The sequence below is a fragment of the Homo sapiens genome, chromosome 8, assembly GCF_000001405.40.
Source record: "Homo sapiens chromosome 8, GRCh38.p14 Primary Assembly".
Taxonomy (NCBI): domain Eukaryota; kingdom Metazoa; phylum Chordata; class Mammalia; order Primates; family Hominidae; genus Homo; species Homo sapiens.
The window spans coordinates 38,152,456-38,179,723 of record NC_000008.11 but is presented as its reverse complement, the minus strand read 5'-3'; the positions used below and the strand labels follow the sequence as shown (position 1 = coordinate 38,179,723).

The window sequence follows — 27,268 nt, the reverse complement described above, 5'->3', positions numbered from 1 at the left end:
TGTGATCTCAGCTCACTGCAACCTCCGCCTCCTGGGTTCAAGCGATTCTCCTGCCTCAGCCTCTCGAATAGCTGGGATTACAGGCGCCCGCCACCATGCCCAGCTAATTTTTGTATTTTTAGTAGAGACGGGGTTTTGCCATGTGGGCCAGGCTGGTCTCGAACTCCTGACCTCAGGTGATCCGCCTTCCTTGGACTCCCAAAGTGCTGGGATTACAGGCATGTCACCACACCCAGCTGGATCTTTCTTTAATTTATAATTAATCTTGGCCGGGCACTGTGGCTCACACCTGTAATCCCAGCACTTTTGGAGGCCGAGGCAGGAGGATACCCTGAGATCAGGAGTTCAAGACCAACCTGGCCCACACGACAAAACCCCGTCTCTACTTAAAATACAAAATTTAGTTGGGCATGGTGGCAGGCGCCTGTAATCCCAGCTACTAGGAAGGCTGAAGCAGGAGACTTTGACCCCGGGAGGCAGAGGTTGCAGTGAGCTGAGATTGCGCCACTGCATTCCAGCCTGGGCGACAGAGCAAGACTGTGTCCCAAAAATAAAAAATAAAAATAAAAAATAATTTATCACTGCTCCATGTTTTTCTCATACAATTGTTTACACTGTGATATAATCAACATACTATAAACTCTACCCTTTTAAAATGTACAATTCAGTAGTTTTTAGTATATTCAGAGTTGTGCAACCATCACCACTGATTTTAGAACATTTCTTATTTTTTGTTTTTTATTTTTTTATTTTTAGAGACAAGGTCTTACTATGTTGCCCAGGCTGGTCTCGAACTCCTGGACTCAAGCAATCCTCCAGCCTCGGCAACTCAAAGTGCTGGGATTACAGGTGTGAGCCATCTCACCAGGCCCTGATTTTAGAACATTTCATTATCCCAAAAAGAATATTCTCACCTACACCGCCAGTCCCCCAACCTCTGGCAACCATTAAGCTTTCTGTCTCTAGATTTACCTACTCTGGCCATTTCATATAAATGGAATCACACAATATGCAGTCTTTCTGACTGACTTAGCTCACGTAGTGTGATGTTTTCAAGGTTCATTCATATTGTAGCATGCATCAGCAGTTCATTCCTTTCTAAGGCCAAATAATACTCCATTGAATGAATATATTAACACCATATTTTGTTTATCGATGCATCAGTCGTTATGTCCTTACAACATTCCTGTATTCGAATAAAGAACCAGGGCTCCAAGAGGTTCACTCACTTTATAACTCAAATAATAAAATGACATTTGGGGCCGAGCGCAGTGGCTCACGCCTGTAATCCCAACACTTCGGGAGGCCGAGGGGCAGGGGAAAGGGGGATCACTTGAGGTCAGGAGTTCAAGACCATCCTGGCCAACATGGCGAAACCCCGTCTGTACTAAAAATACAAAAATTAGCCGGGTGTGATGGCCGGCGCCTGTAATCCTAGCTACTCGAGAGGCTGAGGCAGGAGAATCGCTTAAACCGGGAGGCGGAGGTTGCAGTGAGCCGAGATGGCACCACTGCACTCCAGCCTGGGCAACAGAGCGAGACTCCAACTCAAAAAAAAAAAAAACAAAAAAAACGACATTTCTACTTTTTGGCGATTATGAATAATGATGCTATGAACATGGGCGGACAAGCTTTATGTGAACATACGTTATCAGTTTTCTTGGGTATATAGCCAGGAGTGGGCTTGCTGGGTCATAGACTAATTCTAATGCTTAATGTTTTGAGGAACTACCAAACTATTTTCCACCATTTTACATCCCCACCAGCAATGTACGAGAATTTCACTATTACATTTTCAACAAATGAGGATAATTCTTGAACGAACAGAGAGGTATGCTGCCACCGCAGAACGACAACCCACTACCCAGAAGACTGTATTAACAAAGCAGAAGTATATGTCCGGCAGGAAAACGGAGAATAAAATGTTGCAGGTCCAAGTGTATTAGGCAAGTGAGTTAACCTCGCAGAGCCCCGGTTCCTTATTCGAAAACAAAAAAAAGGGCCGCTGTAATGCCATTTTACCTTGCAGTCGCCGTGAAAATTAAATCAGTCAATCCGCGTAAAGGTACTTTACAACACTGATTATTCATGATTCGATCTCAGGCAAGGCATTAGGGGCAAACAGCTAAATGCCCAGATCCCTCCTCCTCGCAAAGGTTCCTTCCCCTCGGGAGGGTCCCTGAGCGGCATCGGGGGCTGCAGCCACTTCCCTTCCCCGGGAGAGCCGGCCTGCCAGCCACGCAGGATAAATTGCTAGAGCTGGAGCAGTAGATCCGTGCCACCCCTACCCAGCACCGCTCCCAGGAGAGAGATCTGCAGCCTGCTGCTAAGCTTAGTAAGTCCGCGCAGGATCTTTCTTTTTTAAATGGTAATAAACATATTTTTTGGGGTCGAAGCAGAAAAGGAGGGGCAAAGGGAACACAAGCATGTCCCCCCAACCTCTGATCTTAGTCTCGGTCTCTCCAACACCCCCCGCAACACACCCTCCTCCACATAAGGAAAACAAGTATGAAACCCGATCCTTTACGAACCCCAGCCCCAAGGGCCCTCACCTCCCCGCAAGGACAGAGGGTGCAAAGCTTACCTGGTGGCTTCCTCCGGCTCGACCAGGCTCTGGCCAGGCGCCTCCCGAGGGATAGTAGCCATCGCCTCCTCCGCCTTCTCCCAGCCAGGTGGTCTCCGCCGGGCCGCCCCCGCGCACCCGCCAGGAAATGGGAGGCTGGGGAGGTTCAGGGCGAAGAGGATATAAGGGTGGAGGTGGGTGTACCGGCACATCTCCACCCCCAGGCCCGTAGTAGCGGCCGTAGGACGGACCGTCACTGGGGCCGTAGCCCGAGCGCCTCAGGGCCGACATGGGATCCGCTGCCCTGAAGCGCTTCCCGCCCCGCTCCCCACGGCCGACCCATCGCGCAGGCGCCCGCGGGCGATTGCGAATGGAGAGCAGCGAAGGGGGTCGGACGACGCCAGCCAATCCCAGGCCCGGGCCCGCCCCTTCTGCTGCCGAACCCCGAAAGCTGAGGGACGGAGGTCAGTGACTCTGGGGTCTCGGGAACCCGGAGACGAAGGAAGACACCGTGTTCCTTAAGAGGGAGTATACGTTTCCTCGCCATTTATCCAATGGAGTTTCCTCTTACCTACTTAACAGGAACAGGGAAAGGGTGTCCCCCAACGGTACGGCTGCCCCGCCTCTTCCTGGGGGCCCACACGTGTTACAGGAAGTGGGTAAGGGTAATATGGAGGAGCTTCCGGCAGCCCCCGGCGGCTGAAAGCCGGGGCAGAAGTGCTGGTCTCGGTCGGGATTCCGGGCTTGGTCCCACCGAGGCGGCGACTGCGGTAGGAGGGAAGAGGTTTTGGACGCGCTGGCCTCCCGCCGCTGTGCATTGCAGCATTATTTCAGTTCAAAATGAACTATATGCCTGGCACCGCCAGCCTCATCGAGGACATTGACAGTGAGTAGTTTATCTCCTCCCGGTGGAGCCCGGGGTTAGACCCTTCCTCCCGGGCGGGCGCCTCTTCCGAAGAAGCTTGTAGAATGAGTCCCGGGCGGGGCCGGTGTGTTCTGAGCTCAATCCGGGCGTTCCGCGTCGATGTCCTCCACAGCTGCGGTACACACCGCTTGCCCACCCAGTAGCCTGCTGCTACTTCTGCCCCTCGCAGCCTCCGCCAGCCCTCTAGCTGGTGAGCCCCAAGCGATGGAACTCATTCTTGCTTCCGTGGATCGCGGCAGCAGAGGCCCGAACACGAAAGAAGCCCGGGGAGGGGGGGGGCTTCTCCCCCGTCCACTCCTGCCTGCAGTATTTCGAAGTATCAGCGTGTTACCGGTGGATGGATCGGAATACCTAGAGAGAGGATTCATTAAAAAGCGAAAATATTAAGACAGCGGCAGTTGGACTTAATTGGCAGTAAATGTAGGCGCTCTACGGTGTGGCCATTTGCTAGCTTATTTTACTGTGAGGGTCATTAGCACCTTCAGGTTATTGTAGTAGAGACCACTGTTAGACATGGTATTGACTTTTCTGGAAAGACCAAATCACTTGCAACCTTTTTTTTTTTTTTAAGACAATTTACTTTTGCTTTTACTAAGAAGACCTCCCTTATTCCTGGTTTTTGTCCGGAAGAGGAGCTCAGTCCTATACAAAAGCGAAAAGAACCGTCTGCAGTTGTTCTGGCTTTCCTTTTTTCTAAATTCCGTCTGTGCATTATTCCTCAAGCAACATTTTTTATTGTTTTAATCATGTGATCTTTCTCATTAACTTGTTTCAAGATGATTTACACATAGTTTTAAATAAGTTGCAATCGTCTCAGTTACTCTGTGAATACGCAATTTAGAATCTATGGTTAAAATTTCATTTTACGGGCCTGGCGCGGTGGCTCACGCCTGTAATCCCAGCACTTTGGGGGGCCGAGGCGGGCAGATCGCCTGAGGTCGGGAGTTCAAGACCAGCCTAGCCAACATGGTGAAACCCCGTTCCTACAATTAGCTGGGCACTATGGCGGTGCCTGTAATCCCAGCTACTCGGGAGGCTGAGGCGGGAGAATCGCTTGAACCCGGGAGGAGAAGGTTGCAGTGAGCCGAGATCGCACCATTGCACTCCAGCCTGAGCGACAGAGCAAGACTCCGTCTCAAAAAAAAAAAAAAAATCATTTTATGGTTGACAGATCTTTTTTCTTTTCTTTTCTTTTTTTTTTTTTTTTTTTGAGACAGAGTCTTGCTCTGTCGCCCAGGCTGTAGTGTGCAGTGGCGCGATCTCGACTCACTGGAACCTCCACCTCCCGGGTTTAAACAATTCTTGTGCCTCAGCCTCCCAAGTAACTGGGATTACAGGCGCCTGCCAGCACGCCCAGCTAATTTTTGCATTTTTTGGTAGAGACGAGGTTTCGCCATGCTGGGCAGTCTGGTCTCCAACTCCTGACCTCAGGTGATCCACCCACCTCGGCCTCCCAGAGTACTGGGATTACAGGCGTGAGCCACCGCCTCCGGCCGACAGATCATTTTTTTAAACACAAATTACTTATTGTGCTATGTAAGGGAAATGTAGTGTAATTGGACTAAATATATATTAACATCTATATGAACCTGTTACGTGTAACAGGATGTTTTAGTTGCTCGAGGATGCTCTTTTGCCCTCATCTCTCCTTATATATCCTCTAACACATCCTGCCATTTTACTAAAAATCAGTTTTGCTCTTTGGTCCTCTAACCCCTACCTCTTTGTAGATTCCAGACCCCCTACTTTATGAAAACTTTGAAGCCATTTGATATGCACCCTTTGCTCCCCAACCCTAACACACAGTTTCCTCCTTGTGTTTCTGTATTTTCACCCATCCTTTAATTTGAGTAGGAAGGATTCCTCCCTTTTTGTCTGTCTGTTGTTACTGTCTCCTCTCACTGCTTCTGGAACCTTTTTTCGTTGTTAGCCTTTTTCTTTTATATCCTCTGTCTCCCCAACCCCTGCGTTCTTCCCCTCATGTGTTACTGTCTATCCATCTCAAATATTTTCTCCGTTCTCTTCATATGCCCATCCCTTTTTTCATATCTTTATCCCCAAACCTCGAGTCATTTTCATTTTGTCTGTTTCTTGATCACCTTCAATAGACTACTTACATTACTCCTGCAATCTAATTTTTATCCTGAAATTACTCAAGCTGCATTCTTCAAAGTTATTCGTCTAAGGTCTTCTTCTGTGTTCTCTCCCCTTTGCAGCACTGTGATACTCTCCCCACCAGATTCTTTAATTCTCTTCTCTTGATTTCTCTAACAACTGGTACTTGGTGATTTTCTTACTTCTCTGGCTCTTACTGTTCTCCAAAATAGATGGTCACTTGGATTACATGTGGCCTACTTCTTTAAATCTTTAGTAGATCTCCTGTACTTTAGTTTTTTATATCACCTCTTTGTAGATTTATCCAAAATTGCTTTCTCTAATCTTGATGTCTTTGGTTTTCCAGTCTTACTGTTTCCAACTATCTGCGTGTGTTTCTATTAAGTGTCCTGATAGCACTTTAGAATCACAAAGAGCTAATAACCTTCACCCTGAGCTTGCTGCTTTTATTCCCAACTCTTGGTAAATAGTTTTGTGATGTCTCATAAAACTCCTACATCTTTACCTCACATCTTCAGCACCCCACCCTCTCACACATACCCACTTATACAAACTCAGTAAACAGACTCCATCACTTAATGTTTTCTTGTTCCCTATGAAGTCAAATCCAGATGCAGCCTGCGCCCAGTACTTTTCTGACTTTATCTACTGTTCTTTCCCTTCACACCCTCAGCTTTTAGCTAAACATGGATGTATAGCCCTTTTTTCCTCCTCTTTAATTTACAGATTTCCTTCTCCCCCCCCGCCCCCTTCCTATCACTCTTCTTGTGCCCTAAAATTATCTACCTTTTAAGGTCCAACTCTGATACCTCCTTCAGAAATACAGTTTCTCTCTCTGTAGTCTCATATAATTAAGATTTGCTTTCTGTGGTACTTATTTATAGCGCAAGGAAGAGTATAAATTCCTTCAGGGCAGAGTCACTGTGTTTTTCCTCTGTTCTGCATCTAGAAAGTACTTTAGGCATGGAATGAAAGAAATTTTGCTGGGTGCGCTAGTAACTGGCTTATTTTCATTCTTCAGTGTCAGCTCAAAGTCACCTCTTCAGAGAGGCTTTCCCTTGCCACCCTTCCTTCTGTAACCACTTCTCTCCCTTCATCATACTGCCTTGCTAGTTTATTATTCCATTGTCCTAATCACAATAGGTTATTTTCTTATTTATTTGTCCTCCTCCAACATGAATATAAATTCATAAGGTTGGTGACTTTCTAAGTCTCATTCTCTACTGTATGTCTAGACCCCAGAACAGCACATGCCCCCTCAGTAAACATTGAATTTCTGCTCTAGCTTATTATTAGTCTTCATTTTAAATGCCTGAAGCATTGTGTTTTTATTTAAAGCCTTCTATGGTTACAAACAAAATGTGAGATAGAAGCTCATCTTTTGAGGACAAAATAATTCTACAAATAAGATAATAGTCATCTAGATTAAATTTGTCAATTTACAGATATAAAAACTGACATGACATGAGATGGTTTAAGTGTCAAACATAAGGGTCTTTGGCTAGGCGCCATGGTTCACGCCTGTAATCCCAGCACTTTGGGAGGTGGAGGTGGATGGATCATCTGAAGTCAGGAGTTTGAGACCAGCCTAGCTAACATGGTGATACACCATCTCTACTAAAAATATGAAAATTAGCCAGGCATGGTGGCAAACTCCTGTAGTCCCAGCTACTAAGGAGGCCGATGCAGGAGGATCGCTTGAACCTGGGAGGCAGAGGTTGTAGTAAGCCGAGATTGTGCCACTGCACTGCAGCCTGGGTGACAGAGTGAGACTCTGTCTCAAAAAAAAAAAAAAAGAAAAAAGGAAAAAAAAAAAACCAACATAAGGGTCTAGAGCCAGCTAGTCAGGCTTCCTGGTGCCACGCCCTGTCCTTTTCCCACTCTGCCACACTGCTCTGATTCTTTTCACTACTGATGTTATCTAAATCCGCGTTGCTGTGCTGCTTTTTTCAGTTTTCCAATGAACTTGAACTTCACATTAAATGCATTGGCCGAGGAAGTGGTACAGCTTAAACTGTTAATTATTATCCTAAATACTCGCTGAACTTGTCAGTTTTCATTTAAAAGATTTTTTCCTCTCTCCCCAGAAAAGCACTTGGTTCTGCTTCGAGATGGAAGGACACTTATAGGCTTTTTAAGAAGCATTGATCAATTTGGTATGTATTAATTTATGGACATCTCTTATACTCTGGATAATAACAGCAGCCCATTGCATTTTTTGTTATTTAATATTGAAATTTATCTGCAACTTTTTCACGTGTGTGACCTAGTAGGACTGATTTTAGTGAGTACATCATTGTTTTCTATACATTCAGATTAGGTGGTTCAAAGCTTATATATATTTCCAAGCTCGTTTCTAAAACTGGCTTTCAGTAGAATCCCCAGTAGGGGGAGCCAAATGATAGAAATAAACTCAGTCCACCGAAGAGGCTTGTTTTGTTTTGTTTTGTTTTTTGTTTAGACGCGCTCTCGGTCACCCAGGCTGGAGTGCAGTGGCACAATCTTGGCTCACTGCAACCTCCGCCTCTTGGGTTCAAGTGATTCTTGTGCCTCAGCCTCCCAAGTAGCTGAGATTATAGGCTCCAGCCACCACCCCCAGCTAATTTTTGTATTTTTAGTAGAGACGGGGTTTCGCCATGTTGGCCAGGCTGGTTTCAAACTCCTGACCTTAGGTGATCCACCCACCCAGCTGAGCTGGGCAGTTGTTCTGCTCCTCATGGTTTTAGGACAGTCCCTTGGTGTCTAGAAGGTGAGTCAGCTGGTTTGAAGGAGCTTCACTCACATGTCTGGTGCATCAGTGGGGACAGCTGGAAGGCTGGTCTTAGCTCCCATAGTGCTGAGATTATAGGCGCGAGCCATTGTGCCCGGCCCAAGGCTGCTTATTTCTACATTGGCAGGGTAAAATGACTTCAAAGCAGTTCCGGAAGTGAAGGTAATCCCTCCCTAGCCAATGAAAATTGGGTAGAAGGCATTTCCTTTATTTTAAGGACCCCAACATTAAGCTTAATACTTTACATATAGGGATACATTGGAATAAGAGGCCTCTGTCTTTGTTTCGCATCCTGCATTTTTCTTAAGTTAAAAGATTATGTTTCCTTCTGTTTCAAGGAACTTCATGTTCATGCTAACATTTATTGGATATCTGCGAAATCACTGGATTTGAGCATGAGGAAGAAACGTAATTAAAACACTTAAAAGGATTATGGAAGATATGAACATAGATTTCTCCTTTACTTCAAATAGGACAAGTAGTACTAATTGAAAGAGGAAAAATAATTATTGTTAACAAATTGGAGTCCTGATTCTTAAGTCAGATTCATCAGAGTACTTTGAGGGAAGGGTAGTGGCTATTAAGTTGACTTTTAGATTACAAATATAGTTATCTGTCAAGGTGAAAAAATAGGTTTTTGCTGTATCATAACCCATGGATACCTGCGTTGGGTCAAATGAATCCTAATTACTAAAAGAAAGTTGAATCTTCAGCAGATCATCACATACACACCCACACAAAAAGAAAAGCTGTTTCTTTCCAGAAAACAAAAGTTTTGATCTCTGTGGTTGTTTAGGCCCAAGTTTTCCAAGTTCCTTATTCATTTATATTTTCCTATGGTTTTTTTTGGTATTAGCAATTAACTGATAAAGGAATTTATTTCTCTTATTTCTGCTGTCATTCATGTATTAGCCCAACATAATCCCAGACATCTCCTAACTGGTACGTCTTACTCAATGAAATAGGAGAAGATTATTTGAAATTTTAGCCTTCCCCAGAATTAGAAAGCTTGGGGGCCCGGCACTGTGGCTCACGCCTGTAATCCCAGCACTTTGGAAGGCCGAGGTGGGCGGATCACAAGGCCAGGAGTTCAAGACCAGCCTGGCCAATGTGGTGATCCCTGTCTCTGCTAAAAATACAGAATTAGCCGGGAGTGGTGGCAGGCACCTGTAGTCCCAGCTACTCCGGAATCTGAGGCAGGAGAATTGCTTGAACCAGTAGGCAGAGGTTGCAGTGAGCTGAGATGGCGCCACTGCAGTCCAGCCTGGGTGACAGAGCGAGACTCGGTCTCAAAAAATAAATAAATAAAAATAATTAGAAAGCTTGGAAATCATGTTTACCTAAATCTTTTCAAAATAACTGATTATTGAGTTATGGGCCTTTACCCAGTAGTTTAAACTAAATATCTTTGGTTTTTCCCTATACACTTACAGCAAACTTAGTGCTACATCAGACTGTGGAGCGTATTCATGTGGGCAAAAAATACGGTGATATTCCTCGAGGGATTTTTGTGGTCAGAGGAGAAAATGTGGTCCTACTAGGAGAAATAGTAAGTGAAAACTATTAAGCTGCTGTAGATCTTCATATTCATGCTAGTTAGACTTCTTTTTTTGTCTTTTCAAAAGAGAATAAAAATATTCTCCACATTTATCTGGCTTCTCCTAGGCAACTACCAAATTAATTTAGGGAAGCTACAGAGAATACTTTGTTTCAGTGCCTTAACAAATGTGTTCATTAATATATTTGTTTAATAGCAGAAAATTGACAAAGCTTGATTTATATATGCTGGGGAAGGTGTGTCTTACATACGTTGGAATATTTTGCAGTCATTTAAACAATTGGTTACAAGTGGTTTTTCATGGCATAAAGCTAATGCACAGTATTTCAGGGAAGTACATATTGCCTGTACAGTACAATGTGATATCCATATTAGTAAAGGGGGAAAGGGAAAGAGTAGCTATAGGAAAAGCTTTTCCGTTACCTATCCCGAGAATGGAGTTCAGTCTTACTTGGATCCTTAGCTCACAGCCAGGGAGAGGGTATTTTGGTATCTGTGCCAGAAAGACCAGCTGGCAGGTGAAAGGTTAAATCAGATTTTCTGAGGTATTGTTGCTGTAGGTCTTCGTGTGTGCAGACATACACACACACACCCCTACTAGAAGTACTCAGATTTTTTTTTAAAGTATCTTATTTAAAACCTTTGATTTCATCTTGTTATTTCTGATTATTGGGTTTGCAAGGAAAATAAAAATCTCTTCAAGAGTAGTTGAAATTAAGGGTTGAGCCAGCACTGTCTTCTTTTTTCTTACCAAAAACTTTGGTGTTTGCTTAATTTTTAAAGTTTTTAATACTGTTTTCTAAATACCTAGCCATGTCTTAAATCAGTTTGCAGAAATCTTTAGAGTGGTTTGGTTTGTAGCCATTTTTAACAGCCATTTGAGAAAGCAAGGAGATAATTCTGCTAGGGTTGGGTTGGTTCAGAGACCTCATATTGGAAATAGCTAGAAATGACTAATCCAGACTATCAATACTGCCCAAGTGAAATATATGAAGTATATGAAATATATGAATATATGAAATATATGCTGTGAAATATATGAAATAGCTTTTTCTTACTTATAAAATATTTATAAGTAATACTTATAAAAATTTTTCTTATAAAATATTTTTGTAGTTTGTACTTTTAGTTCAGTGTATCATTTCTTGCATGTTTAAGCAGCAGAAATTGTTTTTTGTTTTTTGGGTTTTTTTTTTTTTTTGGGACAGAGTTTTGCTCCTGTTGCCCAGGCTGGAGTGCAATGGCATGATCTCAGCTCACTGCAACTTCCGCCTCCCAGGTTCAAGTGATTCTCCTGCCTCAGCCTCCCGAGTAGCTGGGATTACAGGTGCCCGCAACCAAGCCCAGCTAATTTTTGTATTTTTAGTAGAGACGGGGTTTCACTATGTTGGCCAGGCTGGTCTCGAACTCCTGACCTCAGGCGATCTACCCGCCTCGGCCTCCCAGTGTGCTGGGATTACAGGCATGAGCCACCGCGCCCAGCCAAGCAGCAGAAATTGTTATCTTCTTGTGTCGCATAAAGGCTGAAACAAGGCCAGGTGCGGTGCCTCACGCCTGTAATCCCAGCACTTCGGGAGGCTGAGGCGGGCGGATCACAAGGTCAGGAGATCGAGACCATCCTGGCTAACACAGTGAAACCCCATCCCTATTAAAATACAAAAAAGTTAGCCGGGTGTGGTGGCGGGCGCCTGTAGTCCCAGCTACTTGGGAGGCTGAGGTAGGAGAATGGCATGAACCCAGGAGGCGGAGCTTGCAGTGAGTCGAGATCGTGCCAGTGCACTCCAGCCTGGGCGACAGAGCAAGATTCCGTCTCAAAAAAAAAAAAAAGTCTGAAAGCACCTAGTACCATGGTACCCATGGGGAGACACTACATGACTGTAAAGTAGTCTGCCAGTATTTTTTTTCTTCCAGAGATGGGGTCTCACTATGTTGCCCAGGCTAGATTCAAACTCCTAGGCTTAGGCAATCCTCCTGTCTCAGCCTCCCAAGTAGCCGGGACTATAGGTACATGCCACTGTGCTTGATACTGCCAGTATATAGGGGAGCTGACCCATCTCTGCATGGTGGGGTTATAGATGATTTTTAAAAATACTTTTCTGAATTTAATTTTGAAGAGGCAACGTATCAGAGGAAAAAACTTAAGTTAAAATACTGGGGTGGGTGCAGTGGCTCACGTCTGTAATCCCAGTACTTTGGGAGGCCGAGGCAGGCAGATCGCTTAAGCTGCAAGAGACCAGCCTGGGCAACATGGCCAAACCCTGTCTTTACAAAAAAATACAAAAATTAGCCAGGGGTGATGGTGCACATCACCAGTCCCAGCTACTTGGGAGGCTGAGGTGGGAGATTCACCTGAGCTCAGGGAGGTCGAGGCTACAGTGAGCCATGATTGTACCACTGCACTCCAACCTGGGTAACAGAGCAAGACCCTTTCTCAAGAAAATATTCACAGATATGCTTCTGTTTTATAGTAGTAAACATAGCAGACATGCTTTTTATACTGGTTACATTGGCACAAAGTTACATCTAAGTAGATGTGTGTGTTTGTGCAGAGAAAGAGGTGAACGTGTTTGTTCTTGAAGTTTAATTGTTTCCTTGGATCCCTTTTGTGAGGAAAAGTTCCCTTTTTTAAAAAAATATGTTATGGTTTGGATGCTGCAGAAGTTTTACAGGGGTACCACTACAGAAACTTGGTTCCAGGAATGCCTGCATTGTTATGTGAATCAGCAATCAGGAGAAATTATGTACCAACCCCAGAGGAATTCATACATAGAAATCAGTTTCTGTAAACACTATATTGGTTAAGAAATCCCTGAATTCTGCCTCAAGGACGATGATGATGACACAGCATTAAGTAATAAGACTGTTGGGAAGAAGCAGCAACAGCAGCATGAATTGCTTAGCAAGTCACATACTGAAAAGCCCAAGAGGCAGTGCATTAGGCCGAGAACACTGTGCTCTCTTTAGCTGCTACTCATGGGTTGGGAGGGCAGGTGGTAATATATACTTTGCTGGGTGCTGTTAACTTTGGACCTAGAGCAGGGCTTGCTTATGTAATTTGTGTGGCTTTCATTGTAACTTCTGTGGTGAGAGTCCTCTCTGACTGATAATGCCACTGCCTGTGAGTTCTGAGACCTTGGCAGCATGTGGTAATAGTATGCAGGGCAGAGCATCTGGAGAAGTGTGTCAGTACCGTCCCAAACTTTTATCATTGAAAGTCATAGAGGAGGGTAAGAAACAGGAATACTTTGTATAGGCTTTCCATCTTACAAAAACACCAAATAATACCTGTACATTCATTTTAAGGACAATAAACTGAATCTATGGACAGTGAGATACTTTTTTAGCAAGGTTCTTCTGCATTATGACATTGGTTAGCAAATGTTTATAAGGGCCAGGCACAGTGGCTCACACTTTGGGAGGCCAAGGCAAGAGGATGCTTGAGGCCAGAAGTTTGAGACCAGCCTGGGCAACATAGCAAGACCCCATCTCTACAAAAAGAAAAAAGATTTAATGCCAGATGTGGTGGCACATGCCTGTAGTTCCAGCTACTTAGGAGGCTGAGGCAGGAGGATCACTTCAGCCCAAGAGTTTCAGATCATGGTGAGCTGTGATTGTGCCACTGCACTCCACCCTGGGCAACAGAGCAAGATCCTGTCTCTAAAAAAATGAAAAATGTGCTCACATTGGCAGCACATCTACTAAAATTGGAACAACACAGAGAAGATTAGCACGGCCCCTGCTTAAGGATGACACGCAAATTCATGAAGTCTTCTATATCTTTAAAAATAATTAATGAAAAATGTTTATAAAACATTCAAAAATAAAAATATTAAGCATACTATGCCACATTTAAGTGAAAAAACGAATTAAAGTCAGTATTTGCATTGTGGGTTTTTGGGAGGGGTTTGTTTTTGAGGCAGCGTCTCACTTTGTTATCTAGGCTGACTGCAGTGGTGTGATCACAGCTCACTGCAGCCTCAAACTCCTGGGCTCAAGTGATCCTCCCCCCTCAGCCTCATGAGTAGCTGGGACTATAGGTACACGTTACCACGCCCAGCTAATTTTTTATTTTTTACTTTTTTTTTTTTTTCCTTTTGAGACAGAGTCTTACTCTGTCGCCCAGGCTAGAGTGCAGTGGTGTGATCTTGGCTCACTGCAACCTCTGCCTCCTGGATTCAAGTGATTCTCGTGCCTCAGCTTCCCGAGTAGCTGGGATTACAAGTGTGAGCCACCACACCTGGCTGGGTTGTTTATTTTTTTTAAGTCAGTATATATGTAGAAAAATTGTAGGGATATTATCAAAATGTTAATCCTCCATACTGGAATTATGGATAATTTTTAAATTTTCCTTGTTTGTCTATTTTCCATATTATCTACGATGAGTGTGTATTTTTTAAATAAGGAATTTTTTATTAGGCAACAATTTTTTGTTTTTTTTTGAGATGGAGTTTTACTCTTGTCACCCAGGCTAGAGTGCAATGGCGTGATCTCCGCTCACTGCAACCTCCGCCTCCCAGGTTCAAGTGCTTCTCCTGCCTCAGCCTCCCAAGTAGCTGGGATTACAGGCACCTGCCACCACGCCCAGCTAATTTTTTTTGTATTTTTAGTAGAGACGGGGGTTTTGCCATGTTGGCCAGGCTGGTCTCGAACTCCTGGCCTCAAGTGATCTGCCCGCCTCGGCTTCCCAGTGTGCTGGGATTACAAGCGTGAGCCACCATGCCCAACCTAAGCAGCAATTTTTTAAATAGTGGAGAAAAATATTGGGACCAAATTGGTTTAGTAACCTAAATGGTCTGCCGAGGTTCTCCCTAGAAGACTTGTTGCCGTAAAGGGAAAAAGAGTCTTGTTACAGTTTAGATCTAGACTACAGAGCTGGTACGGTGGCGCACACCTGTAGCCCCAGCTACGTAGGAGGTAAAGGCAAGAGGATCCCTTTTTATTTTTGTCTTTTTACTTTTTTTGAGACGGTCTTGCTGTTGCAGAGGCTGGAGTGCAGTGACACATTCATGGCTCACTGCAGCCTTGAACTTCAACCTCCCAGGCTCAAGCAGTCCTTCCACCTCAGCCTCCTGAGTAGCTGGAACTGTAGGTGAACACCACCACACCAGCTTTTTTTTGTTTTGTTTTTTGGTGGAGTTAGTTAGGGTCTCACTGTGTTGCCCAGGCTGGTCTCGAACTCCTAGGCCCAAGTGATCCTCCCACCTCAGCCTCCCAAAGTGCTGGGATTACGACTGTGAGCCACTCCACCCGTCCTTAAAATAATTAAAAAAAAAAAAAAGTCTAAGGCCACATTGCCTCAATAACCTCCCTCTTGGATTCTCTGCAGTGGGGGAGATAGCTGTCTATAAGCAGCCCTAATTTTTTTTTTTAAGGAAATTAATCGTGGACTAATAGAAAATTAATCCTGACTAATATGGGATTTTGGATCACATAAAGCTCTGTTATACAAATACTTATTACTGCCTATAATCCCAGCACTTTGAGAGGCCAAGGCAGGCAGATCATGAGGTCAGGTTTCGAGACCAGCCTGACCAACGTGGTGAAACCCTGTCTCTACTTAAAATACAAAAATTAGCCAGGCGTGGTGGCACGTGCCTGTAATCACAGCTACTCAGGAGGCTGAGGCAGGATAATCGCTTGAACCCAGGAGGTAGAGGTTGCAGTGAGCTCAGATTGCGCCACTGCACTTCAGCCTGGGTGACAGAGAGACTCCATCTTGAAAAATATATACATATACTGATCACTATTAACCTCATTGTAAGTATGTATCCTATAGTAGTGTTGTCAGGCATTTCTTTGAAAAACTTACCGGTCCCTAGGAGAAGGATATTTCAGTTCCTGTCACAGTTATGAAAAATAATCTGAGCCTGATAGAGGAATCCATTTGCCTTGAGATCTGTGCTTTCTATTCTTGGTCTTCAGGTGAAGTTTTCAAACCTGTCTCTTTTGTAGGACTTGGAAAAGGAGAGTGACACACCCCTCCAGCAAGTATCCATTGAAGAAATTCTAGAAGAACAAAGGGTGGAACAGCAGACCAAGCTGGAAGCAGAGAAGTTGAAAGTGCAGGCCCTGAAGGACCGAGGTCTTTCCATTCCTCGAGCAGATACTCTTGATGAGTACTAATCTTTTGCCCAGAGGCTGTTGGCTCTTGAAGAGTAGGGGCTGTCACTGAGTGAAAGTGACATCCTGGCCACCTCACGCATTTGATCACAGACTGTAGAGTTTTGAAAAGTCACTTTTATTTTTAATTATTTTACATATGCAACATGAAGAAATCGTGTAGGTGGGTTTTTTTTTTAATAACAAAATCACTGTTTAAAGAAACAGTGGCATAGACTCCTTCACACATCACTGTGGCACCAGCAACTACTTCTTTATATTGTTCTTCATATCCCAAATTAGAGTTTACAGGGACAGTCTTCATTTACTTGTAAATAAAATATGAATCTCAAAAGTGTCATGTTATTTCCAAGTTTGAGTTACCTGTAATGAATAGATTAATAGATTAATTAAGTTTCTGCTCTCAAAGGTATAAGCAGTCCACATACTGGGATTTCCCCCTTCAGTCACAGTTTCAAGTAGCTGGCTACTTAGGAAGGAATATTTTTATTCCAGTCATCTCAGGGGTCCTCTCCTGTTTCCATGTTTGTATCTGTTAAGAAATACAAATGTTCGGCAGGGGCGGTGGCTCATGCCTGTAATCCCAGCACTTTGGGATGCCGAGGCGGGTAGATCACCTGAGGTCGGGAGTTGAAGACCATCCTGACCAACATGGAGAAACCCTGTCTCTACTAAAAATACAAAATTACCAGGGCGTGGTGGCGCATGCTGTAATCCCAGCTACTTGAGAGGCTGAGGCAGGAGAATCACTTGAACCTGGAAGGCAGAGGTTGCGGAGAGCCAAGATTGCACCATTGCACTCCAGCCTGGGCAATGAGCGAAACTCCGTCTCAAAAAAAAAAAAAAAAAAATATAAACGCTCAGGCGTGAGGAGGGAGCTTTCAGCTGTTTCCCAGTTACTGGTTACTGCAGAAGACTCATGTTTGAGAAACGACATCATGGTTGCTCTTGCTCCTGCTTCGCCCATGGCTATTCCAAACTAAGTCCCCACGAGACCCAACATGTTCTTACAGTGGCTTGTTCTCCAGGTTTTCTGCTAATTTAATTAGGTGTTCTAGTCCTTTGTATTGAGTCTTGAGTATCTTAACGTTCTCATCAAAAAGGAACATAAATGGTATTGTAGTGACTGAAAGCCCATAGTGATGGCACTTTGTGTGACTGTCGAAGAGTAGGGATTGCATGAAAAGCTTAACAGATTTGTACTTCAAGAAGGAAGCATGGGCCGGGTGCAGTGGCTTACACCTGTAATCCCAGCACTTTGGGAGGCAGAGGCAGGTGGTTCACCTGAGGTCAGGAGTTCAAGGCCAGTCTGGCCAACATGGTGAAACCCCGTCTACTAAAAATATAAAAATTAGCATGGTGGTGCATCCCTGTGATCCCAGCTACTCGGGAGGCTGAGGCAGGAGAATTGCTTGAACCCGGGAGGCAGAGGTTGCAGTGAGCTGAGATTGCACCACTGTAGTCCATCCTGGGCGACAGAGTGAGACTCTGTCTCTAAATAAATAAATAAAGGAATCATGGTTTAGTAGACAGTGGGCTCAACTAGGAGTTAGGAGATACCGTGTGAAATTGGCAATTATTGGCAGATTAGGCTTGAGTAAGTCATCCTCTGATTCTCAGTAATTTTAACTGATTATTCCAGGTAGTTCCTTTTTATATTCTGTTAAGCAAAAATGTTATTTTCATAAATTTTATATCTAATTTGTATGTGTGTGATTTATTATTATTATTTTTTTTTTCTTTGAGACAGAGTCTTGCTCTGTCGCCCAGGCTGAAGTGCAGAGGTGCGATCTTGGCTCGCTGCAACCTGCACATCCCAGGTTCCCCGAGTAGCTGAGATTATAGGCACGTACCACCACACCCCTCTTTAATTTTTGTACTTTTAGTAGAGACGGGGTTTCACCATGTTGGCGTGGTGGGTTCCCGAACTCCTGACCTCAAGTGATCCTCTGGCCTCGGCCTCCCAAAGTGCTGGGATTACAGGCATGAGCCACCACGCTTGGCCTGTATGTGTGTGAATTATTTTATAGTATTAACATTTTATGAGCTCAGGGGTTTTTAAAACTGCCCAAAAGGCCTACAAACCATTTGACTTCTGAACTGTTCATCATTGGGCTGATTTTATAGTAGGTAACTTATGAGGAAACTATTGCACTTAATGGCTTATCTAATGTTTTGCCCATCTTACTGTTTAATAGAATGTATTATTAACTACCCACATAAAGAGAAGAAATACCAACTTTTGAAAAACGTGTGACTACAGTAAGATACTCTGAAGTTCAGCAGAATGACAGCATTTGTTTTTCAGAGCCCCACTGCTTCAAAACATGTGACACCTCCAAGAAATGTGAATTCGTTACAGTTATCTTGTGTTTTCAACATCCATCAATTCCCACTGTAATGGCAAGAGTTATGATTTACTCTTACGTTAAATTCCAAGAATTTCCAAGCCATAGCAAGGTTTCAGTCATTGTGTGTACTGTCTTGCTTTAGACCTTTATCATACAGCCAACAGCCAAGACTTGGACCTAAAGGATGAAACTCTCCGGACTATCTGCAGCATTCTTAGTTCCTCGACTGCCCAGTGGGATGGTTTGCCCTCACCTTACCCAAGCCAGTCTTTGCAGATACTGAAATCTAATGCTTTTTTCCCCGACCATTGCTGGACTCTTGTATTATTAGGCTTCAGAATCAGTCCCATTTCATACTTCTGTTTTATCTTTTTTTTTTTTTTTTTTTTGAGACGGAGTTTTGCTCTTGTTGTCCAGGCTGGAGTGCAATGGCACGAATCTCAGCTCACTGCAGCCTCCACCTCCCGGGTTCAAGCAATTCTCCTGTCTCAGCCTCCCGAGTAGCTGGGATTACGGGCATGCCCCACCACGCCCAGCTTCCCTTGAGGCTGCTTTCAGGGTAGAAAAATAAAGTTCTTCCAATTGGGGCTTGAGACTGCTTTCAGGGTAGAAAAATAGGAAGATCTACCAAAGACCCCTTTCTGGCCATCTGTTTTCTGAAATAATTGAGTACAGCAGCATATCTCTTACTCTTTTTTTTTTTCGCCCTTAGCCCGTAACCTTCTTAGACTGCATGCTCTTAGCTAAGTTTAAACCGCAGTATCTGCTCCCCTCCCTGATCTGATAAAATCCAAACAGGCTCTGGATACTTAGTGGAGCCAAGTACCCTCATACTGGCCATTATGGACGCTCAGGGAAGCCAGGTCAGGATGAGTCCCAGTGATATCACAGGTGAAGAAGGCTGGAAAGTATCATTTTCTTCACAGGAGTGTGAGTGGGCCAGGACAGGGAGGCCAAGCACAGTGCAGACAGCAGAAGGGGTAGGCCAGGAGGCAGAGTAGGCACACCTGCCCAAGATGACTGACTGCACGTGGCCCAGAATTTCTTTTTTGAGTGGACTAGAATAAAAAATAGAATGCAGGTGGCTCACGCCTGTAATCCCAGCAGTTGGGGAGGCCGAGGTGGGTGAATCACTTGAGCTCAGGAGTTCGAGACCAGCCTGGGCAACATGGCGAAATATCATCTCTACCAAAAATACAAAAAATTAGCCAGGTGTGGCATACGCCTGTCGTCCCACCTACTCAGGAGCATAGTGGGTGACAGTGAGACTCCGTCTCAAAAAAAAAAAAAGGCTGGGCGCAGTGGCTCTCACCTGTAATCCCAGCACTTTGGGAGGCCGAGGTGGGTGGATCACCTGAGGTCAAGAGTTCCAGACCAGCCTGACCAACATGGAGAAATTCTGTCTCTACTAAAAATACAAAATTAGCAGGGCGTGGTGGCACATGCCTGTAATCCCAGCTACTCGGGAGGCTGAGGCAGGAGAATTGCTTGAATCTGGGAGGCGGAGTTTGCAGTGAGCCGAGATCATGCCATTGCACTCCAGCCTGGGCAACAAGAATGAAACTCCGTCAAAAAAAAAAAAAGAAAGAAAGAAAGAAAGAAATCAAAGCGCATCACATAATAAAGTTAGGCCATGTGTGAAACTTGTTATCTGCATGTATGCAGATACTGGAGATGTAAAATAAATTTGTTACTGTGCCTGGCTGTCAGAAACATTTGAAAAACACTACCTTATAGTAAATTTGTATGTGCTTATTTCAACTACGAAGGAAAAGAGTATTTGCATCCATTGAGGTACAGAAAAAAAAAATTTTAAGTCCACGTTCATTTTCATATCTTTCTTCTCAACTCCTGAAAATCACCTGTGCCCTGGATGGGGATGAATCTGTTGATCTCTGGGCTTAACACATGCTATTCCCCGAAATTTGCATGAATCCTTCTCTCACTATCTTCAGATCTCTGTCACATTCCCCTCCCTTGACTGCCCCTTTAAAATAGCACCCCTGGCTGGGTGCCGTGGCTCATGCCTGTAATCCCAGCACTTTGGGAGGCCGAGACAGGTGGATCACCTGAGGTCAGGAGTTTGAGACCAGCCTGGCCAACATGGTAAACCCCGTCTCTACTGAAAATACAAAAATTACCTGGGCATGGTGGCACATGCCTGTAATCCCAGCTACTTGGGAGGCTGAGGCAGGAGAATCGCTTGAATCCGGGAGACAGAGGGTGCAGTGAGCCGAGATCGCACCATTGCACTCCAGCCTGGGCTACAGAATGAGACTCTGTCTTAAAAAAAAAAAAAAAAATTAGCCGGGCGTGGTGGCAGGTGCCTGTAATCCCAGCTACTCGGGAGGCTGAGGCAGGAAAATTGCTGGAACCCAGCAGGTGGAGGTTGCAGTGAGCCGAGATCATGCCACTGCACTCCAGTCTGGGTGACAGAGTGAGACTCAGTCTCAAGAAAAAAAAAAAAAAGCACCCCGTCCCCATCTGTAACTTTCCAGCTTTTCACCCTACCAAGTATTGCCATCTGACATATATTTTACCTGTTTACTGTCTGCTCCCCTCCCTCACTAGAATGTAAACCCTTAAGGATGGATTTCTATCTGTCTTGTTCACTCTTGTATCCCCAGCATCTAGAATGATGCCTAATGTGCATTAAGTCTCAGTATGTATTTGTTGAAGGATGGATGGATGGATGGATGGATGGATGGATGGATGGATGGATGGATGGATGGATGGATGAAAGCATGAAGTAAGTTCAGGCTGGCTTACCAATATGCTTCAGAGACCAGTACGACCCCAAAAGGTGAAGACAGTTGCGACCACTGAGCGGCCAGGAGTAGGATAATTAGTAGTGATCAGTCCTTACATTGAATATGGAGATGTTCCCCTACTGTGGAGGCAGCCTTTAGTGCAGGCCATAGCCCTTCAGGTGTGAAGGGTTTGGAGGTAATTGGTGGTAAAAAAATTCTGAGACCCGGTGTGGTGGCTCATGCCTGTAATCCCAGCATCTTGGGAGGCCAAGGTGGGCGGATCACCTGAGGTCAGGAGTTCAAGACCAGCCTGACCAATATGATGAAACCCCGTCTCTACTAAAAACACAAAAATTAGTTGGGCATGGTGGCACATGCCTGTAATCCCAGCTACTCAGGAGGCTGAGACAGGAGAATCGCTTGAACCTGGGAGGCAGAGGTTGCAGTGAGCCGAGATCACGCCATTACACTCTAGCCTGGGCAACAAGAGTGAAGCTCCGTCTCAAAAAAAAAAAAAAAAAAAACCTGGAAAAGCATCCCAGGAAAACATGGGGGTGAGGGTTGGACAGGGAGCTGGGTGCCTGTCAGGGTTGCTGGGAGTAAAGATTTTCTTCTACCTGTTCTCCTCCTAATTGTCCTCCAGGCAGATGTGGGCTGCAGTGCCCACCCCCATCTTGCATGTCACCCTATAGGGGTCCTGTGGATAATGGGAGCAAGAGACTGCTTTAAGGGTGCTTGATTTTACCAATTAAGCTGGTCCTGTATTCACCTAAGTGGCCAAAGATCAAAAGTTAATTTTCCAGCCAAGCGCGGTGGCTCACGCCTGTAATCCCAGCACTTTGGGAGGCCAAGGCAGGCAGATCACCTGAGGTCAGGAGTTCAAGACCAGCCTGGCCAAAATGGTGAAACCTTGTCTCTAATAAAAATACAAAAATTAGGCCAGGCGCAGTGGCTCACGCCTGTAATCCCAGCACTTTGGGAGGCCGAGGCAGGCGGATCACGAGGTCAGGAAATCGAGACCATCCTGGCTAAGACGGTGAAACCCCGTCTCTACTAAAAATACAAAAAATTAGCCTGGCGTGGTGGCGGGCGTCTGTAGTCCCAGCTACTTGGAAGGCTGAGGCAGGAGAATGGTGTGAACCCGGGAGGCGGAGCTTGCAGTGAGCCGAGATAGCGCCACGGCACTCCAGCCTGGGCGACAGAGCGAGATTCCGCCTCAAAAAAATAGAAAAATAAAAAAATAAAAAAATTAGCGGGGCGTGGTGGCGGGTGCCTGTAATCCCAGCTACTCAGGAGGCTGAGGCAGGAGAATCACTTGAGCCTGTGAGGCGGAAGTTGCAGTAAGCTGAGACCGTGCCGCTGCACTCTAGCCTGGACAACAGAGCGAGACTCTGTATCCAAAAAAAAAAAAAAAAAAAAAAAAAAAAAAAAAAAAAAAACAGAGAGAGAAAGAAGGAAAGAGAGAGAGAGAGAGAAAGAGAGAGAGAGAAAGACAGAGAGAGAGAGAGAGAAAGGAAAGAAAGAGAAAGAAAAAGAAAGAAAGAGAAAGAAAAAGAAAGAAAGAAAGAAAAAGAAAGAAAGAAAAGAAAAAAGAAGGGAAAAGAAAAAAAAGGCCTCAAAGCCTGTTGCTTTGGGAACCCAGAGAACTGAGTGGTGTCACGACCCAAGTACGTAGCTGGGGCCAATAGAAAGAGAGAGGGCTCACTGCTGGGCAGATCTCAAGGTCAGGAACCCAGAATGCCTGGGAATCCATCACCAAGACACAGTTTTTTTTCTGATCAGGTTTACTGAGGTGTAATTTACATAAAGTAAAATTCAGCCTTTTTGGTGTGGAGTTCTATAAGTTTTAACAACTGAGTATAGTTATGTAACCACTATCACGATCAAGATACAGAATATTTTCATCACTCCTGCCCTGTGTATTTCTTTCCTCCTTTCCAGCCCCTGGATAACACTGATCTATTTTCTGTCCCTATAGTTTACAGTGGCAATGAATTCAAAGTGTTCTTAAAATGGTGTGTAGGTCAAATTAAATATTGTGAGGGCTAAATTCAGTTTGTTCTTCTGGTTTAGGTGATTACAAAAGACCAAATGCTCTATGTTCTCTGCCAAAATTCCTGGGAAAGGAAATCAAAAGTCGGGCTTACCTGCTTGAAATGGTGGGTGAGGGGGGGAAACAAGAGACTCCAACAGAATTTAAAGTTGAGTAAGCATCCATCACCCTAAAATTTATTGACTGCTAGATGGCAGCCAGGCATATGCTAAGATGCAACTATTAGCCCCACTTTTCACAGAGAGAGACAGGAGATTTTAAAAGGTTAACCCAGCCAGGCCCGGTGGCTCATGCCTGTAATCCCAGAGCTTTGGGAGGCTGAGGCAGGAGGATCGCTTGAGCCCAGGAGCTGAAGACCAGCCAGGGCAACATAGTGATATCCTGTCTCTACAAAAAATAATGAAATTAGCTGGGCATGGTGGTGCACACCTATAATCTCAGCTATCTGGGAGGCTAAGCTGGAAGGATCTCTTAAACCTGGGAGATTGAGGCTGCAGTCAACTGGGATTGTACCACTGCACTCCAGCCTGGGCAATAGAGCAAGACCTTGTCTCAAAAAAAAAAAAAAAAAAAAAAAAAGGGCTGGCACAGTGGCTCACGCCTATAATCTCAGCACTTTGGGAGGCCAAGGTGGGTGGATCCCAAGGTCAGGAGTTCAAGACCAGCCTGCCCAACATGATAAAACCCCATCTCTACTAAAAATACAAAAATTAGCCAAGTGTGGTGGTGCGTGCCTGTAATCCCAGCTACTCGGGAGGCTGAGGCAGGAGAATCCTGGGAGGCGGAGGTTGCAGTGAGCCGAAATTGTGCCATTGCACTCCAGCCTGGGTAAGACAGCGAGACTCCGTTTCAAAAAAAAAAAGTAAAACAAGGAGAAATTGGCAAGAGTCTTATTTATACTGTGATAAATATTTATCAAGGTGGGGCCAAAAGGTAAAATATTGGATCTTTTTTTTTTTTTTTTTGAGACGGAGTTTTGCTTTGCTCTTGTTGCCCAGGCTAGAGTGCAATGGCGCGATCTCGGCTCACCACAACCTCCACCGCCCAGGTTCAAGCAATTCTCCCGCCTCAGCCTCCCAAGTACCTGGGATTACAGGCATGCGCCATCATGCCTGGCTAATTTTTTTTGTATTTTTAGTAAAGACGGGGTTTCTCCATGTTGGTCAGGCTGGTCTCGAACTCCTGACCTCAGGTGATCCGCCCACCTCGGCCTCCCAAAGTGCTAGGATTACAGGCATGAGCCACCATGCCGGGCCAAAATATTGGATTCTAATTAAAGAGTAGGGTGAGGAAAGGCACAGAGGACAGCCTCTGAGGGGAGACTGCACTGCAAGTATCCCTGGAACAGAGAAGGTATGCACAGGATGGATGGCAGCAGGCACCACAGGGAGAGCTGAGCACTGCTGGGTAGAATCCAGGTGAGAACTGGAATGGCCAAATTGGAATTGTGCTAAGAATTCTGGACTTTATCTTGTGAGGTATTGATGTATTGTTACCTCATTTAAACCTTATAACTAACCTGAGAGGATGAAGAAAATAAAAAGAGGCTGGGCGTTGTGGCTCACGCCTGTAATCCCAGCACTTTGGGAGGCTGAGGCCACGTGGAATGGCCCAAGCTTCCCCTGACAGCCAGCTCGCAGCCCTCAGAGTCTCCTCCAAGCTGCTGGCCATCTGCTCTACCTGGGACACCCTTACCCCATCAACTCTCTATTTTCAACCCCCTCCACAAACCTAGCTAACTCCCATTCGTATTTTCCAGAAGCCTTCCGTAACATTCCTCCCTCCCTCCCCCATAGAATTAGAGGTTCCATCATCTCTACTTCCAAAACACCTCATCTGCTCTACGACTGTCCATACTGGGTCTATGGTTCAACTCATATTGTCCTAACTTTAGAGCCACATAGAGACATTCAGGAAAGGACTGTTGAATGAATGGAGGGAGGGAGGGAGAGAGGGAGGGAGGGAGAGAGGGAGGGAGGGAGGGAGAGAGGGAGGGAGGGAGGGAGGGAGGAAGGAAGGAAGGAAGGAAGGAAGGAAGGAAGGAAGGAAGGAAGGAAGGAATCCCCTTTTTTGCTCCAAAGCCCTGGCTCTCTCGCCTGGCCTGGGGGCCTTCCTCTCCAGCATGGCACATCCACACCACCTGAGCTGGCCTCCTGGCTCTCCTCCCCCATGGCCTGCCATGGTCATCTGGCCTCCTTTCTTGGAAGCTCTGCCCTCATCAAAAAGCAGAGCCAGATACAGATGGTCCAGAACCAGAGGAAATTCCCAGACCTCTCTCGCCACTTTACTGCTCAGAGGGATGGAGAGAGTTAATGAGTCATTCTGCCTGGAAAGGATGAGGGAGAGAGCCTTGGCCCTTGCAGAGGTCACCCAGCACCACCTCCCAACCACCCCCTCCCAGGAGTCAATGGCAGCCTCTGACATCAGCCACAGCCATAGGCTCTATCCTCCGTCTCCCACACCACCTCCACCCCTTTCAGAATGGCCATAATTCTCCACAGGAAGGCAGCAGCAGGGCCTTGATCATCATCTGCATGGCCTGTCCCATAATAACCGCCTTCCCCCTCCCCCCACCTCGCTGAGGCAGGCCTGCAGACACACATGTGCAGGAGAGGCACATGCCCCAGCAGATCAGAGGGAGGAGCCGGGGGAGCTGGCACCCCACCTGCCCAGCTCATCCACTGCACCTCCTCTCTGAAAGGTAGAGGGCCTAGGCACAGGCTGGCGACGGGGGAGAGGCCCTGCTGTCTTCCTTGGGGACTGAGGGCTGGAAACAATGCCTTCAGGCAGGTTTCCTGAGTCTAAAGATATACCTGCACCCCTAGCTGCTTTCCCAGTTGGTCACTCAATAGAGAAGGAGCACACCAGGCACAGTGGCTCACTTTGGGAGGCCGAGGCAGGAGGATGGCTTGACCCCAGGAGTTCAAGACCAGCCTGGGTAACATAGCAAGACCCCGTCTCTATTTTTAAAAATTAAAAAAAAAAAAAGTTTTAATAGAGAAGGAGCAAGAGTCCCCTGTGTCTCTGCTGGAGGTGAGTGCTGAGGGTGGGGACAGCTTTTAAGGGGGAAAGTGGACCCAGCACCTGCCTTGGGGAGATAATTCCACAGAAGAGACAAGCAAACACATACAAACCATTCAACAAATCAGGACCAGAACTAAGCCCCTCAAGTGATACTGACAGTAAGGGTGTGGTGGGAGGAGCCAGCATTCCAGAAGACCAGGATGGTCTAGGAAGGTTTCCTGGAGGAGGTTTTGAGGAAGGGGCCGGGTACCTCTAGGCAGCCTCTGCTCACAGGATTCCCCGACTGCATCACCGGGGTGGAAATCGGGGGCCAGGGGGGTGACTCCCCTGTTCTATATGGGCTCCAAGTGCCAGGCCTGGCTCTGAGCAGATCCTGTCCCTTTCACCCTGTCTGGTGTTGGGGAGACAGCGAGAGTGCATGGGGCCCCGGCACTGCTCCCCATTTTTAGGGCTCCCCTCTGCCTCTGTGAGGTGGTGGCAGGACACAGAACTCCCTCCCACAGGGAGCAGGGCCTGGGCCAGGGGCAGTTCCAGTGTGAGTTTTTCCACTCCCAATATTCTTGCCCAGTGAATCTGGCTTAAAAGCAGCCTCAAGGTCACTGTAAAGGGAAGAGATTCCGTCAGAGTCAGAGCCCAGCACGTGCTGCGCCTGGGTAAGGGTGAGTGGGAAATGCAGAGGCCTCGTGGGGCCTTGCTCAGCCTGACAGGGCCCCTAAAGTGCAAAGACTAGGGTGAACACCCCAACGCCCTGTCTTTTCTTTTTTTCCTTTTTTTTTTTTTGCAACAGAGTCTCGCGCTCTGTCATCCAGGCTGGAATGCAATGGTGTGATCTCAGATCACTGCAACCTCTACCTCCCAAGTTCAAGCAATTCTGCCTCAGCCTCCTGAGTAGCTGGGATTACAGGTGCCTGCCACTATGCCTGGCTAATTTTTGTTTTTTTGTTTTTGTTTTTGTTTTGAGACGGAGTCTTGCTCTGTCACCCAGGCTGGAGTACAGTGGCTTTATCTTGGCTCACTGCAACCTCTGCCTCCCGGGTTC

General features: G+C 45.8%; 2 protein-coding genes, 1 long non-coding RNA gene and 1 pseudogene across 6 annotated transcripts in view, besides 10 other annotated features; 2 read left to right on the top strand and 2 right to left on the bottom strand.

Annotated features, from left to right (window-relative positions):
- Positions 1–2,869, bottom strand: part of BAG4 (BAG cochaperone 4) — a 36,447-nt gene extending 33,578 nt beyond the window's left edge. For both annotated transcript variants that reach the window (NM_004874.4, NM_001204878.2), the window contains exon 1: positions 2,585–2,869. In NM_004874.4, the coding sequence (NP_004865.1) occupies positions 2,585–2,854 (270 nt within the window). In that variant the 5' untranslated portion in view covers positions 2,855–2,869. The remainder of the gene's footprint in view (positions 1–2,584) is intronic.
- Positions 1,927–2,266: an enhancer, noted in NCBI's record as "active region_27245". NCBI's record gives its function as "activates an Ori minimal core promoter by ATAC-STARR-seq in GM12878 lymphoblastoid cells {active_cell/tissue: GM12878}" and the evidence as "EXISTENCE:reporter gene assay evidence [ECO:0000049][PMID:35858748]".
- Positions 2,548–3,405: an enhancer, noted in NCBI's record as "H3K27ac hESC enhancer chr8:38033837-38034694 (GRCh37/hg19 assembly coordinates)". NCBI's record gives its function as "activates a minimal SCP1, AML or CMV promoter by ChIP-STARR-seq in primed H9 embryonic stem cells {active_cell/tissue: H9 hESC(primed)}" and the evidence as "EXISTENCE:reporter gene assay evidence [ECO:0000049][PMID:30033119]".
- LSM1 (LSM1 homolog, mRNA degradation associated) lies at positions 2,994–16,403 on the top strand. Of its 3 annotated transcripts, none has more exons than NR_045493.1 (4): positions 2,994–3,171; positions 7,691–7,759; positions 9,807–9,922; positions 15,884–16,403. NR_045493.1 is itself a non-coding variant. In NM_014462.3 (4 exons), the coding sequence occupies exons 1-4, from the start codon at positions 3,404–3,406 to the stop codon at positions 16,052–16,054; spliced, it is 402 nt and encodes a 133-aa protein (NP_055277.1). In that variant the 5' UTR covers positions 3,231–3,403; the 3' UTR covers positions 16,055–16,385. The 3 variants fall into 3 exon arrangements, 1 of the variants encoding a protein (NP_055277.1); NM_014462.3 differs by lacking the exon at positions 2,994–3,171 and adding an exon at positions 3,231–3,449 and having other exon boundaries at positions 15,884–16,385; NR_045492.2 differs by lacking the exons at positions 2,994–3,171; positions 9,807–9,922 and adding an exon at positions 3,231–3,449 and having other exon boundaries at positions 15,884–16,385.
- Positions 3,177–3,326: an enhancer, noted in NCBI's record as "active region_27244". NCBI's record gives its function as "activates an Ori minimal core promoter by ATAC-STARR-seq in GM12878 lymphoblastoid cells {active_cell/tissue: GM12878}" and the evidence as "EXISTENCE:reporter gene assay evidence [ECO:0000049][PMID:35858748]".
- Positions 3,406–4,263: an enhancer, noted in NCBI's record as "H3K27ac-H3K4me1 hESC enhancer chr8:38032979-38033836 (GRCh37/hg19 assembly coordinates)". NCBI's record gives its function as "activates a minimal SCP1, AML or CMV promoter by ChIP-STARR-seq in primed H9 embryonic stem cells {active_cell/tissue: H9 hESC(primed)}" and the evidence as "EXISTENCE:reporter gene assay evidence [ECO:0000049][PMID:30033119]".
- Positions 3,737–3,826: an enhancer, noted in NCBI's record as "active region_27243". NCBI's record gives its function as "activates an Ori minimal core promoter by ATAC-STARR-seq in GM12878 lymphoblastoid cells {active_cell/tissue: GM12878}" and the evidence as "EXISTENCE:reporter gene assay evidence [ECO:0000049][PMID:35858748]".
- RNU6-323P (RNA, U6 small nuclear 323, pseudogene) lies at positions 13,606–13,712 on the top strand (annotated as a pseudogene).
- On the bottom strand, positions 16,330–23,385 carry LOC105379382 (uncharacterized). Its single transcript, XR_949687.2, has 2 exons — positions 23,300–23,385; positions 16,330–16,414 (listed from the first exon to the last, which is right to left on the bottom strand). It is a non-coding gene; the product is annotated as an uncharacterized LOC105379382 (long non-coding RNA).
- Positions 25,224–26,209: an enhancer, noted in NCBI's record as "H3K27ac-H3K4me1 hESC enhancer chr8:38011033-38012018 (GRCh37/hg19 assembly coordinates)". NCBI's record gives its function as "activates a minimal SCP1, AML or CMV promoter by ChIP-STARR-seq in primed H9 embryonic stem cells {active_cell/tissue: H9 hESC(primed)}" and the evidence as "EXISTENCE:reporter gene assay evidence [ECO:0000049][PMID:30033119]".
- Positions 25,224–27,268: part of a biological region, named in NCBI's record as "STAR 5' regulatory region", that runs on past the window's edge. NCBI's record gives its function as "regulatory_interactions: LOC116186927 | STAR".
- Positions 25,370–25,404: a protein binding site, noted in NCBI's record as "SF1 site; -3397 to -3363". NCBI's record gives the evidence for it as "EXISTENCE:protein binding evidence [ECO:0000024][PMID:20601698]".
- Positions 25,563–25,580: a protein binding site, noted in NCBI's record as "SF1 site; -3204 to -3187". NCBI's record gives its function as "positive regulation of promoter activity" and the evidence as "EXISTENCE:protein binding evidence [ECO:0000024][PMID:20601698]".
- Positions 25,711–25,736: a protein binding site, noted in NCBI's record as "SF1 site; -3056 to -3031". NCBI's record gives the evidence for it as "EXISTENCE:protein binding evidence [ECO:0000024][PMID:20601698]".